This window comes from Homo sapiens, chromosome 5 (assembly GCF_000001405.40).
Source record: "Homo sapiens chromosome 5, GRCh38.p14 Primary Assembly".
Taxonomy (NCBI): Eukaryota; Metazoa; Chordata; class Mammalia; order Primates; family Hominidae; genus Homo; species Homo sapiens.
The window spans coordinates 37,472,230-37,485,891 of record NC_000005.10 but is presented as its reverse complement, the minus strand read 5'-3'; the positions used below and the strand labels follow the sequence as shown (position 1 = coordinate 37,485,891).

At 42.7% G+C, this 13,662-nt stretch overlaps 1 protein-coding gene across 5 annotated transcripts in view; it reads right to left on the bottom strand.

Moving 5' to 3' along the window:
* Positions 1–13,662, bottom strand: part of WDR70 (WD repeat domain 70) — a 374,118-nt gene that overhangs the window by 267,544 nt on the left and 92,912 nt on the right. For 4 of the 5 annotated variants that reach the window (NM_018034.4, NM_001345998.2, NM_001345999.2 and 1 more), the window contains one exon: positions 5,905–6,058. In NM_018034.4, coding sequence (NP_060504.1) covers positions 5,905–6,058 — 154 coding nt within the window. Of the gene's footprint in view, positions 1–5,904; positions 6,059–12,406; positions 12,430–13,662 lie in introns of those variants that run through there. The other variant, XM_011514061.3, reaches the window with a different exon arrangement.

Below are 13,662 nucleotides of genomic sequence, written 5' to 3'. Positions count from 1 at the left end.
AATACAAAAAAAAAAAAAAAAAAAAAAAAAAAATTAGCCAGGCATGGTGGCGCATGCCTGTAGTCTTAGCTACTCGGGAGGCTAAGGCAGGGGAATCGCTTGAACCCAAGAGGCAGAGGTTGCAGTGAGCCAAGACTGCACCACTGCACTCCAGCCTGAGCAACAGAGTGAGATTCTATCTCAAAAATAATAATAATAATAATTAAATGAATGAATAAATAAATAATATATATTGTTCATTCATTAACATTGAACTCACAGCCAATGGCACTACAGCACTCACGCCTGAATGAAGTTTATTTAATGCATCTATTTTCTCTGTAAGGCACATCACAGACTTCTTGGACTTGTGAATGCTAAGCAGCACTTCAGCACTATGCTTGGGGGTTAATTTAAGTGGCAAAACAACCAACAAACAGTACAAAAATAGGAAAAGCATGGCATTAAATAGACCACAAAAAGGATACCTGACTATTGTATGAGAGCTGAAAAAGAAGGCAGAATATCACTTTGTTCAAACTGAAATTCTTTGACACTCTATGCAAACACATGACTATGAAAGTGCTGTGAGTACTGATTTTGGGGTTACAAAAAATAGTAGGTGAGTTCACAAATACAAAAGCTGAAAACAAGGAGGATCGACTGTATTTTCGTAGACAATCTAATCTCATAGAAGATTTCAATTCAGACAAAAATCATGAGAATTACTGTATTACAAAAGGGCACTAGATGGGGGAAAAGAGTAAAAATCAGAATTAAAACAAAGGTTCAAAATTCTGCATCAACCATATCCAGTTACACTTTAATATGTTTGTGGCAGACGACATTATTGTTCCCAACTCATCACCCCTCCCTATATCTACAACCTTTCCCCAAGACAATGCAGTTCCTCCTGCTAGAGATCAGGTATGTTTATCTATACTATCAATGTTAGCCATGGACAAGGTATGTGCTTTGGCTGACTGAATGTTAGTGGACATGATAGAAGCAATGGCTTAAAATGTACTTCCAGAACTGGAGTTTCCTTGTGATTCTATCACTGTGACAAAAACACATCCTCAGGTAGTCCACTGATCCAAGGGGGAACAAACACACAGAAAACATACCTAGACTCTATCTGCAGCTTGCAGCCTCACCAAGCCAAGAACAGTCAACTCACAGATATGTTAGCAAAAATAAATGTTTTTCATACCTTAAGTTTTATATAATTATTGACCTGTAGTTAACTGATATATAATATACTTTAATCTTAAAATATCATTATCCCATTAAAAATATTTACATTAAAAACTGAGACCTCTCCCTCTCCCTCTCCCTCTCCCCACGGTCTCCCTCTCCCTCTCTTTCCACGGTCTCCCTCTGATGCCAAGCCGAAGCTGGACTGTACTGCTGCCATCTCGGCTCAATGCAACCTCCCTGCCTGATTCTCCTGCCTCAGCCTGCCGAGTGCCTGCGATTGCAGGCGCGCGCCGCCACGCCTGACTGGTTTTCATATTTTTTTGGTGGAGACAGGGTTTCGCTGTGTTGGCCAGGCTGGTCTCCAGCTCCTAACCGCAAGTGATCTGCCAGCCTCAGCCTCCCGAGGTGCCGGGATTGCAGACAGAGTCTCGTTCACTCAGTGCTCAATGTTGCCCAGGCTGGAGTGCAGTGGCGTGATCTCGGCTAGCTACAACCGCCACCTCCCAGCCGCCTGCCTTGGCCTCCCAAAGTGCCGAGATTACAGCCTCTGCCCGGCTGCCACCCCGTCTGGGAAGTAAGGAGCGTCTCTGCCTGGCCGCCCATCGTCTGGGATGTGAGGAGCCCCTCTGCCCAGCTGCCCAGTCTGGGAAGTGAGGAGCGCCTCTTCCCGGCCGCCATCCCGTCTAGGAAGTGAGGAGCGTCTCTGCCCGGCCGCCCATCGTCTGAGATGTGGGGAGCGCCTCTGCCCCGCCGCCCCGTCTGGGATGTGAGGAGCGCCTCTGCCCGGCCGCGACCCCGTCTGTGAGGTGAGGAGCATCTCTGCCCAGCTGCCCCGTCTGAGAAGTGAGGAGCCCCTCCACCCGGCAGCCGCCCCGTCTGAGAAGTGAGGAGCCCCTCTGCCCGGCCAGCCGCCCCGTCCGGGAGGGAGGTGGGGGGTCAGCCCCCGCCCGGCCAGCCGCCCCGTCCGGGAGGGAGGTGGGGGGCACCTCCTCCAGGCCACCGCCCCGTCTGGGAGGTGGGGGGCGCCTCTGCCTGGCCGCCCCTTCTGGGAAGTGAGGAGCCCCTCTGCCCGGCCACCACCCTGTCTGGGAGGTGTACCCAACAGCTCATTGAGAACGGGCTATGATGACGATGGCGGTTTTGTGGAATAGAAAAGGGGGAAAGGTGGGGGAAAGATAGAGAAATCAGATGGTTGCCGTGTCTGTGTAGAAAGAAGTAGACATGGGAGACTTCATTTTGTTCTGTACTAAGAAAAATTCTTCTGCTTTGGGATGCTATTGATCTATGACCTTACCCCCAACCCTGTGCTCTCTGAAACATGTGCTGTGTCCACTCAGGGTTAAATGGATTAAGGGCGGTGCAAGATGTGCTTTGTTAAACAGATGCTTGAAGGCAGCATGCTCGTTAAGAGTCATCACCACTCCCTAATCTCAAGTACCCAGGGACACAAACACTGCGGAAGGCCGCAGGGTCCTCTGCCTAGGAAAACCAGAGACCTTTGTTCACTTGTTTATCTGCTGATCTTCCCTCCACTATTGTCCTGTGACCCTGCCAAATCCCCCTCTGCGAGAAACACCCAAGAATGATCAATTAAAAAAAAAAAAAAAAAAACTGAGACCACTTTCTTTCCTTTTTTTTTTTTTTAAATTAAGAGACAGGGTGTCTCAATGTTGCCCAAGCTGGAGTTCAGTGGCTAGTGGCTATTCACAAGCATGATCATCGCACACTACCTCAAACTCCTGGGATCAAGCAATCCTCCTGCCTCAGCCTTCCAAGTAGCTGGGACTGTAAGTGTGTACCACAGCATGTCAGCTCTCTCTCTCCTTCTTGACCTAAAGCCTAGCATAAAATTAGCTAAGTAGAATGTTTCCAAAGATGCCTGCATCAGTATCTCCCATCCCACATAATTTCTGTTTGATTTTGCCATTCACCCATATAATGGTGGGATCTACCTCCCCTCCTTGCAAATTTGAGCTGGCCCTCTGATCCTGTCTAAGATCTGAAGCCAGATATTAAGGTACTTAATTAATTTCCATGTTTGTCCTCCATGCAACCTAGCAATCAAGCAAGAAGTCAAAACCTACTGATATAGTTTGGATGTGTCCCCACCCAAATCTCACCTTGCATTGTAATAATTCCCACATGTCAAGGGTGGGGCCAGGTGCAGATAACTGAATCATGGGGACGGTTCCCCCCATACTGTTCTCATGGTACTGAATAAGTCTCATGAGATCTGATGGTTTTATAAATGGGAGTTCCCCTGCACATGCTCTCTCCTGCCTGCTGCTATGTGAGACATGCTTTTCCATCTCCTTGCCTTCCACCATGATTGTGAGGCCTCCCCAGCCATGCAGAACTGTGAGTCAATTCAACCTCTTTCCTTTATAAATTACCCAGTCTCAGGTATGTCTTTATTTGCAGTGTGAGAACAGACTAATACAATAAGTTGATACCAGTAGAGTGGGGTGCTGCTGTAAAGATACCCGAAAATGTGGAAGCAACTTTGGAACTGGGTAACAGGGAGAGGCTGGAACAGTTTGGAAGGCTCAGAAGAGGATAGGAAAATGTGGGAAAGTTTGGAACTTCCTAGAGACTTGTTGAATGGCTTTGACCAAAATGTTAATAGTGATATGGACAATAAGGTCCAGGCAGAGGTGGTCTCAGATGGAGATGAGGAATTTGTTGGGAAATGGAGTAAAGTCACTCTTACTATGCAAAGACACTGGAGGCATTGTGCCCCTGTATTAGAAAAGGGCATAAGATAGGCGGGAAAGAGTGAAATAAGAATTTTTTTCTAGAGTTCCCTAGAGATCTGTGGAACTTTGAACTTGACAGAGACGATTTAAGGTATCTGCCAGAAGACATTTCTAAGCAGCAAAGCATTCGAGAAGAAGCAGAGCATAAAAGTTCAGAAAATCTGTAGCCTGATGATGCAACAGAAAAGAAAAATCTATTTTCTGAGGAAACTGGGTTGTAGAAATTTGCATAAGTAATGAGGAGCCAAATGTTAATCACCAAGACAATGGGGCAAATGTCTCCAGGGCATGTTAGAGACCCTCACAGCAGACCCTCCCATCACAGGCCTGGAGGCTTAGAAGGAAAAAATGGTTTTGTGGGTCCAGAACCCCCTGCTGTGTGCAGCCTAGTAACTTGGTGCCCTACATCCCAGCTGCTCCCGCCATAGGTAAAAGGGGCCAAGATACACCTCAGGCCATGGCTTCAGAGGGTGCAAGTCCCAAACCTTTCAGGTTCTAGGTGGTGTTAAGCCTGCAGATGCACAGAAGTCAAGAATTAAGGTTCGTGAACCTCCGCCTAGATTTCAGAAGATGTATGAAAATGCCTGAAAATCCAGGCAAAAGTTTGCTGCAGGGAGCGGGGGGGGCCCTCATGGATAACCTCTGGTAGGGCAGTGTCAAAGGGAAATATGGGGTTGGAGCCCCCACACAGAGTCCCCACTGGGGTACTGCCAAGCAGAGCTGTGAGAAAACGGCCACCATCCTCCAGACCCCAGAATGGTAGATCCACTGACTGCTTGCACTGTGTGCCTGGAAAAGCTGCCAACACTCAATGCAGCCAGAAGGGGGGCTGTACCCTGCAAAGCCACAGGGGCGGGGCTGCCCAAGACCCTGGGAACCCACTTCTTGCATCACCTGGATGTGACACATGGAGTCAAAGGAGGTCATTTTGGAGCTTTAAGATTTGCCTGCTGGGTTTTGGACTTGCATGGGGCCTGTAGCTCTTTCGCTTTGGCCAATTTCTCTCATTTGAAAAAAGTGTATTTACCCAAAGCCTGTATCCCTGTTTATCTAGAAAGTAACTAACTTGCTTTTGATTTTACAGGCTCATAGGTGGAAGGGACTTGCCTTGTCTCAGATGAGACTTTGGACTATGGAATTTTGAGTTAATGCTGAAATAAGAGTTTGGGGGACTTTGGGGAAGGCATGATTGGTTTTGAAATGTGAGGACATGAGATTTCGGAGGGGCCGAGGCAGAATTAAATGGTTTGGCTGTGTCCCCACCCAAATCTCATCTTGAATTGTAACAATTCCCATGTGTCAAGGGCGGGGCCAGGTGGAGATAATTGAATCATGGAGGCAGTTTCCCCCATGCTGTTCTCATGGTAGTGAATAAGTCTCATGAGATCTGATGGTTTTATAAATGGGAGTTCCCCTGCACATGCTCTCTCCTGCCTGCCGCCATGTAAGACACGACTTTGCACCTCCTTGCCTTCCACCATGATTGTGAGGCCTCTCCAGCCATGCAGAACTGTGAAACAATTAACCTCTTTCCTTTATAAATTATCCAGTCTCAAATAGGTCATTATTAGCAGCATGAGAACAGACTAATACACCTAAGACTACCACACTGTGAAAAGACCCAAACTAGACATGTGGCAAGAGAAAAAGACAGAGAGACAGAGAGCCAGCAAGAAGGGAAGGGGTGGGGTAGAAGTAAGGAAGAGGCAAAGACACAGAGAGATGCCATGGAGCAGGACACTGACTGCAAACCATCTGGGCCCCTTTTGTATCTTACAGCGATCCTAGTGCTCCAGCTGATACTGTATGAAGCAGAACCACCCAATCAATCCACATGATTGTGAGAACAAATAAATTGCTATTGTTTTATGACACTAACTTTTGGGGAAAATTATTACATGATAACTCAAATAGTTGTTAATAAATGTGTGCTGAATTAATTCATTAAAATATTCTGTTTAATGCTTACCTTGGTGTTGGCCATGTCCACAATATACTGGTCTCCTTTTATACATTCCATTACTTCAAAACCATCTCTGTCAATCACCTTGGCCTGAGAGCTTCCAGATACAACAAGAATCATGTCTCCTGTGTTACTATACTGTAATGACTTGATCTGATGGCTGTACGAAAAGAAAAGGAAAGTTGGTAAGATACTAAGCACAATGTTTATAATTTTACTACATTAAGTATTGCCAGAAAAAAAAATGTTACACAAATGGACAAATTGATAATTCCACAAAATCAGGAACATCAACCTCAAATGGGTTCTAAATACCCACTAGCGGCTGGGCAAGGTAGCTCATGCCTATAATCCCAATACTTTGGGAGGCCAAGGCAGATGGATCACCTGAGGTCAGGAGTTCAAAATCAGCCGGACCAACATGGTGAAACCCCATCTCTAATAAAAATACAAAAACTTAGCCAGGCATGGTGATGGGCACCTGTAATCTCAGCTACTTGGGAGGCTGAGGCAGGAGAATTGCTTGAACCTGGGAGGCAGAAGTTGCAGTGAGCCAAGATCACGTCATTGCACTCCAGCCTGGGCAACAAGAGCAAAACTCTGTCACCAGAAAAAAAAAAAAAAAAACAACCACCACCAACCAACCAACCACTGGCTATTCTGGTAGCTCTCTCTTCCCACTCTCCACTGCAATCTATTAAAACTCTCTCTAATTACCTTATATCTCCAACCCAACCAACTCTCCCTCTTTCAGCTGTTAAATCTTCTGGCTCTTTCTCAGAAAACAAGAACTGCCTCAACTTCCTCTCATTATTGTTATAAACTTATCTTTACCTGAACTTTCTTCCTCCTCCTCTTTCATTACAATGGTAGAAATGAACCTCTTCCAGTCCATGGAAAATCATACTTATATCCTGGATCTCATCTCTCCCAGTCTCCTCAGGAACTTCTACTATCTTCTCTCTCTCATCCCCTTCACAGCTAAGCTGTTTGAACAAGTTTTCAAGCCTCCTCATCTCCTCCTTTAGTTCTTTAGCACTACAATACCTTTCCACCCTCACCATTCCACTAAAACTGATCTTGATCTTGCCATTGTGGCTGTAGTGAATACAGTGGTGTGCTACCCAGAACTCCCCCTTCAAAAGTGAAGTGCTCATTCTCCCAGCTTCTGGGATTTTGCCTACTGATGGCTAATAACTGAACCCTCAGGAATTTCCCTGAGTTGCAACTCCCTCACCAAAGGTTATGCTATTATACCACCCCAAAACAGCCCACATTCAATGACTGGTCAATATGCAGTAAAATAGTCCATTCCTGAAATATCTCAGAGGGGTTATTTTAGCTTCAGATCTCCCTGTGGAACAGTTGTTGCTGCTATGGCAACTACATGGCAATTCAATTTCCCCATCTTCACAATGCTGTTTCCCTTGTACCCTCTCTCACAGGGATTGACCCCAAAACACTCCCCAATATAAACTTCTGACATGCAAATACAGACATTTCAAAGTGTGTTTTTGGGAAACCTGACCTGGGAGAGTTGATACCAAAAGTGGTCCTATGAAGTTTTGACTTCAAATGAGAATCTGATGCTGTATCAACCACAAACTGGCTAGCAATGAGAAACCCATTACTGGTGGCACACAGTCCCTAACATGCCACAGTAGGGCAACCACAATTGCTGAAACTTTTGTTGGTGAAAGAGAAGCCATGGCAGGTGCAATATTTCAGGCATTTGTGAAGTACAGAGAAGTAATTAAAAGGACTAGGAATTCGATAGCTGTTGCTAAGAGCAGTCGATGCAACGGAGAAAAACAACAAAAGGCTGAGAGTGACAAATCACCAATTAAAGACTATAGCGTGAAAGCCAGATAGTCTCTTTGGCAGCATATAAAGACTGGGTTATTGGTCTTGATCAGATAAGTGGTATGCAGTCATTGATCTCATGAAGCATGTTTTTCTGCCCCTATTAAGGAGGACTGAAAGCAGCTGACAGTCACATCCAACTAACAATAGCATACATTTAAATGCCTGAATCAAGGCTATTATTAATTTTCCAGCCTTTAGAGTCCCAGGGGATATGGGCAATCCAAAGAAATTCATGTTGATCCCTGGTCTAAATATCACATTAACTCAATCAGGTGAGCAAGAAGTAGCACATACACTGGTAAGATACAACCTTTCCAGAAAATAAGAGAGAAACCCTATAAAAGAACAGGAGATTGAGACAAGGAGATGAGGAGAATATCTCCTTGTCTCATGTAGATAGACATATGAAAGGGGACAAGTATGAAGCTTTTTGTGTCACAAGTTAATCCCAGAAAGCATCAACCTCAAAAGAGGCAATGAATAACCATGCAAAGTGACTTGGCCAGTTTGGCTGTGACTGTTAACACAATAGGCTTGTAAATGAAATAGTCATGGTGGCATGAATAGAAGTTGTAGATGAGCCCAACAGCAACTCTTAACTTGACCTAACTGTTGTTGCTGCTGAAGATCCAACCTGCCAACTATGGTGAGCCCTTCCTCCCAAAATCAATACTAAGCTAATAAATAAGTAAAATATATTATATGAAAAAACGGTAATAAGTATGTGGGGGAAATAAAGCTAGGAAGGTAACAGGACAGGGATAAATATTTTAAATAGAGAGGTCAAGAAATAAGTGAGTAGCTAGAATTACAGAATCACTTAAAGGCAAAATAAAGATGTTTTCAGAAAAACTAAAACTAACAGAATTTGTCAACAGTTGACTTGCTTTAAAAGAGATACTACACAGAATTCTCCAGGTAGAAAGAAAATGATCCCTAATAAAAGCACAGAGTATGGCATGAAGAATAACAGAAAGGGAGAATATACAAGTAAATGAATGAATAAGTTATGAATACTGACTGCATAAAATAACAATACCACCTGAATGGTTTAAAATGCATATACCAATATGTAAAAGTACAGAGGACACTTGAACAACAAAGGTTTGAACTGCACGGGTCCACTTTTACACTGATTTTTCTCAACCACATGCAGATAAAAAATACAGTATTCTGCCAGGGACAGTGGCTCGTACTCATAATCCCAGCTATGCAATGAGCTATGATCGCGTCACTACACTCCAGCCTATGTGACAGAGCAAGACCCAATCTCTTAAAAAAAGAAGAAAAGGCCAGGCACAGTGGCTCACGCCACAGTTTGGGAGGCCAAGGCAGGTGGATCACGAGGTTGAGATCGAGACCATCCTGGCTAACATGGTGAAACCCCGTCTCTACTAAAAATACAAAAAATTAGCCAGGTGTGGTGACATGCACCTGTAGTCCCAGCTACTTGGGAGGCTGAGGCAGGAGAACTGCTTGATCTCAGGAGGCGGAAGTTGCAGTGAGTCAAGATTGCTCCACTGCACTCCAGCCTAGGTGACAGAGCGAGACTCCGTCTCAGAAAAAAAAAAAGAAGAAGAAAAAAGAAACAATAAAACATTGTAGATAGTATTCACAATAGTATTCACAGGATGCAAAACTTGCATACACAAAAGGCTGGCTTTTCCCATAGGTGGATTTCTCAGGACCAACTGCAGGACTTGAGTATGCACAAATTTGAATATAGACAGGGATTCTTGCCTATAACAAGGGGACAACTATACGTGAAAACAGCTGCAAAATGGCAGGAGGGAGTAAATGCAGTTACATGTAGTTAATGATCCAAAGTCTTTGTATTGACTGGGAAGTAGTAAAAGTACTAATTTATAATAGACTTTGTTAAGTTGTAATCTTTAGACTAACGACTAAAAGAATAGTAAAAGACAATAAACTAAAAAGCTAACAGAGAAGAGAAAACATAGTATTAAAAATTAATGCAGATCAGGCACGGTGGCTCATGCTATAATCCCAGCACTTTGGGAGGCTGAGGTGGGTGGATCACCTGAGATTGGGAATTTGAGACCAGCCTGACAAACATGCAGACACCCCATCTATACTAAAAATGCAAAAAAAAACATAGCTGGGCATGGTGGTGCATGCCTTTAATTCCAGCTACTCAGGAGGCTGAGGCAGGAGAATTGCTTGAACCCGGGAGGTGGAGGTTGCAGTGAGCCGAGATCACGCCATTGCACTCCAGCCTGGGCAACAAGAGCAAAATGCCATCTCCAAAAAAAAAAAAAAAAAATATGTAATGCAAAAGACAAGACAGTAAAGAGGAAATAAAACAGAATGGACAAATAAAAACAGTGAATAAGATGGATGGTTTACATCCAAATTTATAAGTAATTAAATATAACTAACTTAAAGGTTATAATTAAAAGACAAAGTTTGACAGGATGGATAGAAAACTTCTGCATAAAAAAGACAATTTATTTATATGGAGAGTGTGAATTAAAAGAATGTAAAAACATATTTCACAAAGACTTACTAAAATAAAGCTGGTATATCTTACGAATATCAGGCAGAGTGGCCTTGAAAATCAAGGAATGAGGGCCAGGCGTGGTGGCTCACGCCCATAATTCCAGCACTTTGGGAGGCCAAGGCAGCTGGATCACCTGAGATAGGGAGTTCAAGACCAGCCTGACCAACATGGAGAAACCCCGTCTCTACTAAAAATACAAAAAAAATTAGCTGGGCATGGTGGTGCATGCCTGTAATCCCAGCTACTTGGGAGGCTGAGGCAGGAGAATTGCTTGAACCTGGGAGGTGGAGGTTGTGGTGAGCCAGATTGCGCCATTGCACTCCAGCCTGGGCAACAAAAGCGAAACTCCATTTAAAAAACAAAACAAAACAAAAAATCAAGGAACAAGGATGGGTACCGTGGCTCACACCTATAATCCCAGCATTTTGGGAGGCCAAGGCAGGTGGATCACTTGAGGCCAGGAGTTCAAGACCAGCCTGGCCAATATAGCGAAACCCCATCTCTACTAAAAATACAAAAAATTAGCCAGGCGTGGTAGCGCACGCTTGTAATCCCAGCTACTCGGGAGGCTCAGGCGTGAAAATCACTGGAATCTGAGAGGTGCAGATTGCGGTGAGCTGAGATCATGCCACTGCACTCCAGCCTGGGCAATAGAGCAAGACTCTGTCCCAAAAAATAAAAATAATAAAAATAATAAAATAAAGGAACATTACTGGAGATAAAAAGGAAATTTCACCATTATCCTCAGCAAACTAATGCAGAAACAGAAAACCAAATGCTGCATGTTCTCACTTATAAGTGGGAGCTGAATGATGGGAACACATGGACACATGTGGGGGAACAACACACCTAGGGGAACAACACACATTGGGGCCTGGGTGGCAGGGGGAGAGCATGTGGAAGAATAGCTAATGGATGCTGGGCTTAATACCTAGGTGATGGGTTAATCGGTGCAGCAAACCACTATGGCACACGTTTACCTATGTAACAAACCTGCACATCCTGCACATGTAGCCCTGGAACTTAAAATAAAAGCTGAAGATTAAAAAAAAGAATAATAACAAATGGGGAAATCTACCAGGCAGATACAATAATTCTAAGTGTGCTCATGCCTAGTGACATTCCTCCAAATACATAAAGCAAAAAATTACAAAACTAAAAGGAGAAACAGGCAAATCTACAATCACACTCGGAGATTTCAACATCTCTTTTCCAGTAACTGATCCTACCAGCCAATTTTTGAAGAGCAATAAGGATAGAGAAGATTAGAACCACAAAATTAATAAACTAATTTACCTATGTTGGATCCACAACAAAAAATGCAGTCAAGTATACAAATAATGTTTAAAAAATTGACATATGCAAATCTGTAAATCAAGTCTCAATAAATGTCAAAAACCTAAAATCATATAGCATATGTTCTCTAATCCTAGTGGAACTGTTACAAATAAATTCTCAAAAATAATCTGAAAACCACTGAATGTTTGAAAATAAAGCAAGATACCTATAAGTAATCCTTAGATCAAAGAAAAAAACACAATACAAATTAGAAAATGTTAACTGAATGATAATGAAAATATAATGAATTAGAACTTGTGACATATAGCTAAAGTAGAAAATTTAGTATTTAGTAGAAAATTTATGGAGTTAAATGCATATATTACAAAAAAACTGTTTTAATCAATGATCTAAACATATGTTTCCAAAAGCTGGAAACAGCAAACTATATCTATCTCTCATGAACACAGATACAAAATGTTCCAAACAAAATATAGCAGATGGAATCCAGCAATATATATATAAAAGGAAAAGATATCACAATCATGTAAAATGTACTCCAGGAAGGCAAGACAGGTTTAATATTCAAGTCAATTCATGTGACTTTCTAAAAATCCAGCATAAAGGAAGAAAAGTAATTCAGGTATCTGATAAAACATATCAAAAGACAACATTAAGAATGTAAGGCCAGGCGCGGTGGCTCAAGCCTGTAATCCCAGCACGTTGGGAGGCAGAGGCGGGCAGATCACCTGAGCTCAGGAGCTCGAGACCAGCCTGGCTAACATGGTGAAACCCTGTTTCTACTAAAAATACAAGAAATTAGCTGAGCGTGATGGCACACACCTGTAATCCAGCTACTCAGGAGGCTGAGGCAGGAGAATCGCTTGAACCCAGGAGGCAGAGGTTACAGTGAGCCGAGATCATGCCATTGCACTCCAGCTTGGGCAACAAGAGCGAAACTCAGTCTCAAAAAAAAAAAAAAAAAGAATATGAATACACCAAGCTACAGAGTAGGAGAAAATATTTGTAATGCAAAGGATTATTGCTGTGTGTGTACGTGTATCTCCTAAAATACACTGATTTAAAAAAAAAAAGAATAAAAAGACCAACAACCCACTAAAAGTAAAAAGATAGATACTTAACAAAATATATTCAAGTGCTCTATAAAAACATTAAAAGGTGCTTCACATCATTAATCATTTATGAAATGCAAAAACAAAAAAACACAAGGTATCATTTTATACCCACCCACTAAAATGGTTAAATCAAAGATACTGACCATATCAAATATGGTCAAGAATGTGGAGCAATTAGAATTCTCATACACAACTGGTAAAGTGTAAGATAAAAAAATATGTTGGAGAACTGTTTGGCAGTTTCATATAAAGGTAAACATGTACCTATCCTACGACTCAGCAGTTCTATTCTTAGGTATGTTCATAGCACACAAAAAGGCTCATACAAAAACGTTCAAAGCAGCTTTATTCATTACGTCCAAAAGCTGAAAACAATAATCTAAATTGTACACTTGGCCAGGCACAGTGGCTCATGCCTGTAATCCCAGCACTGTGGGAGGCCGAGGTGGGCAGATCACTTGAGGCCAGGAGTTTGAGATCAACCTGGCCAAAATGGCAAAACCCCATCTCTACTAAAAGTACAAAAAAATTAACAGGGCATGGAGGCGGGTGTCTGTTAAATCCCAGCTACTAGGGAGGCTGAGGCAAGAGAATTTCTTGAACCCGGGAGGCAGAGGTTGCAGTGAGCCAAGATCGTGCCACTGCACTCCAGCCTGGGCAACAGAACAAGACTCCATCTCAAGTAATCAATCAATTGTACACTTTACACGTTGTATATATAATTTGTACATTTGGTATATTCATGCAATGAAATACATGGATAAATGTCATAAACATTTTATTGAGTAAAACAAAAAAGAAACATACTATATATTATATAATCCCAATTACATAAAGTCAAAAAAATAGGAAAATATTATGGCAATAAAAATTTAAAAGTACTTGCCTCTATGGGAAGGAGGGACATAGAATGAAAAAGAATCAAGAGAACTTTCTGAGGAGATGGGTATATTTGTTTTCAGT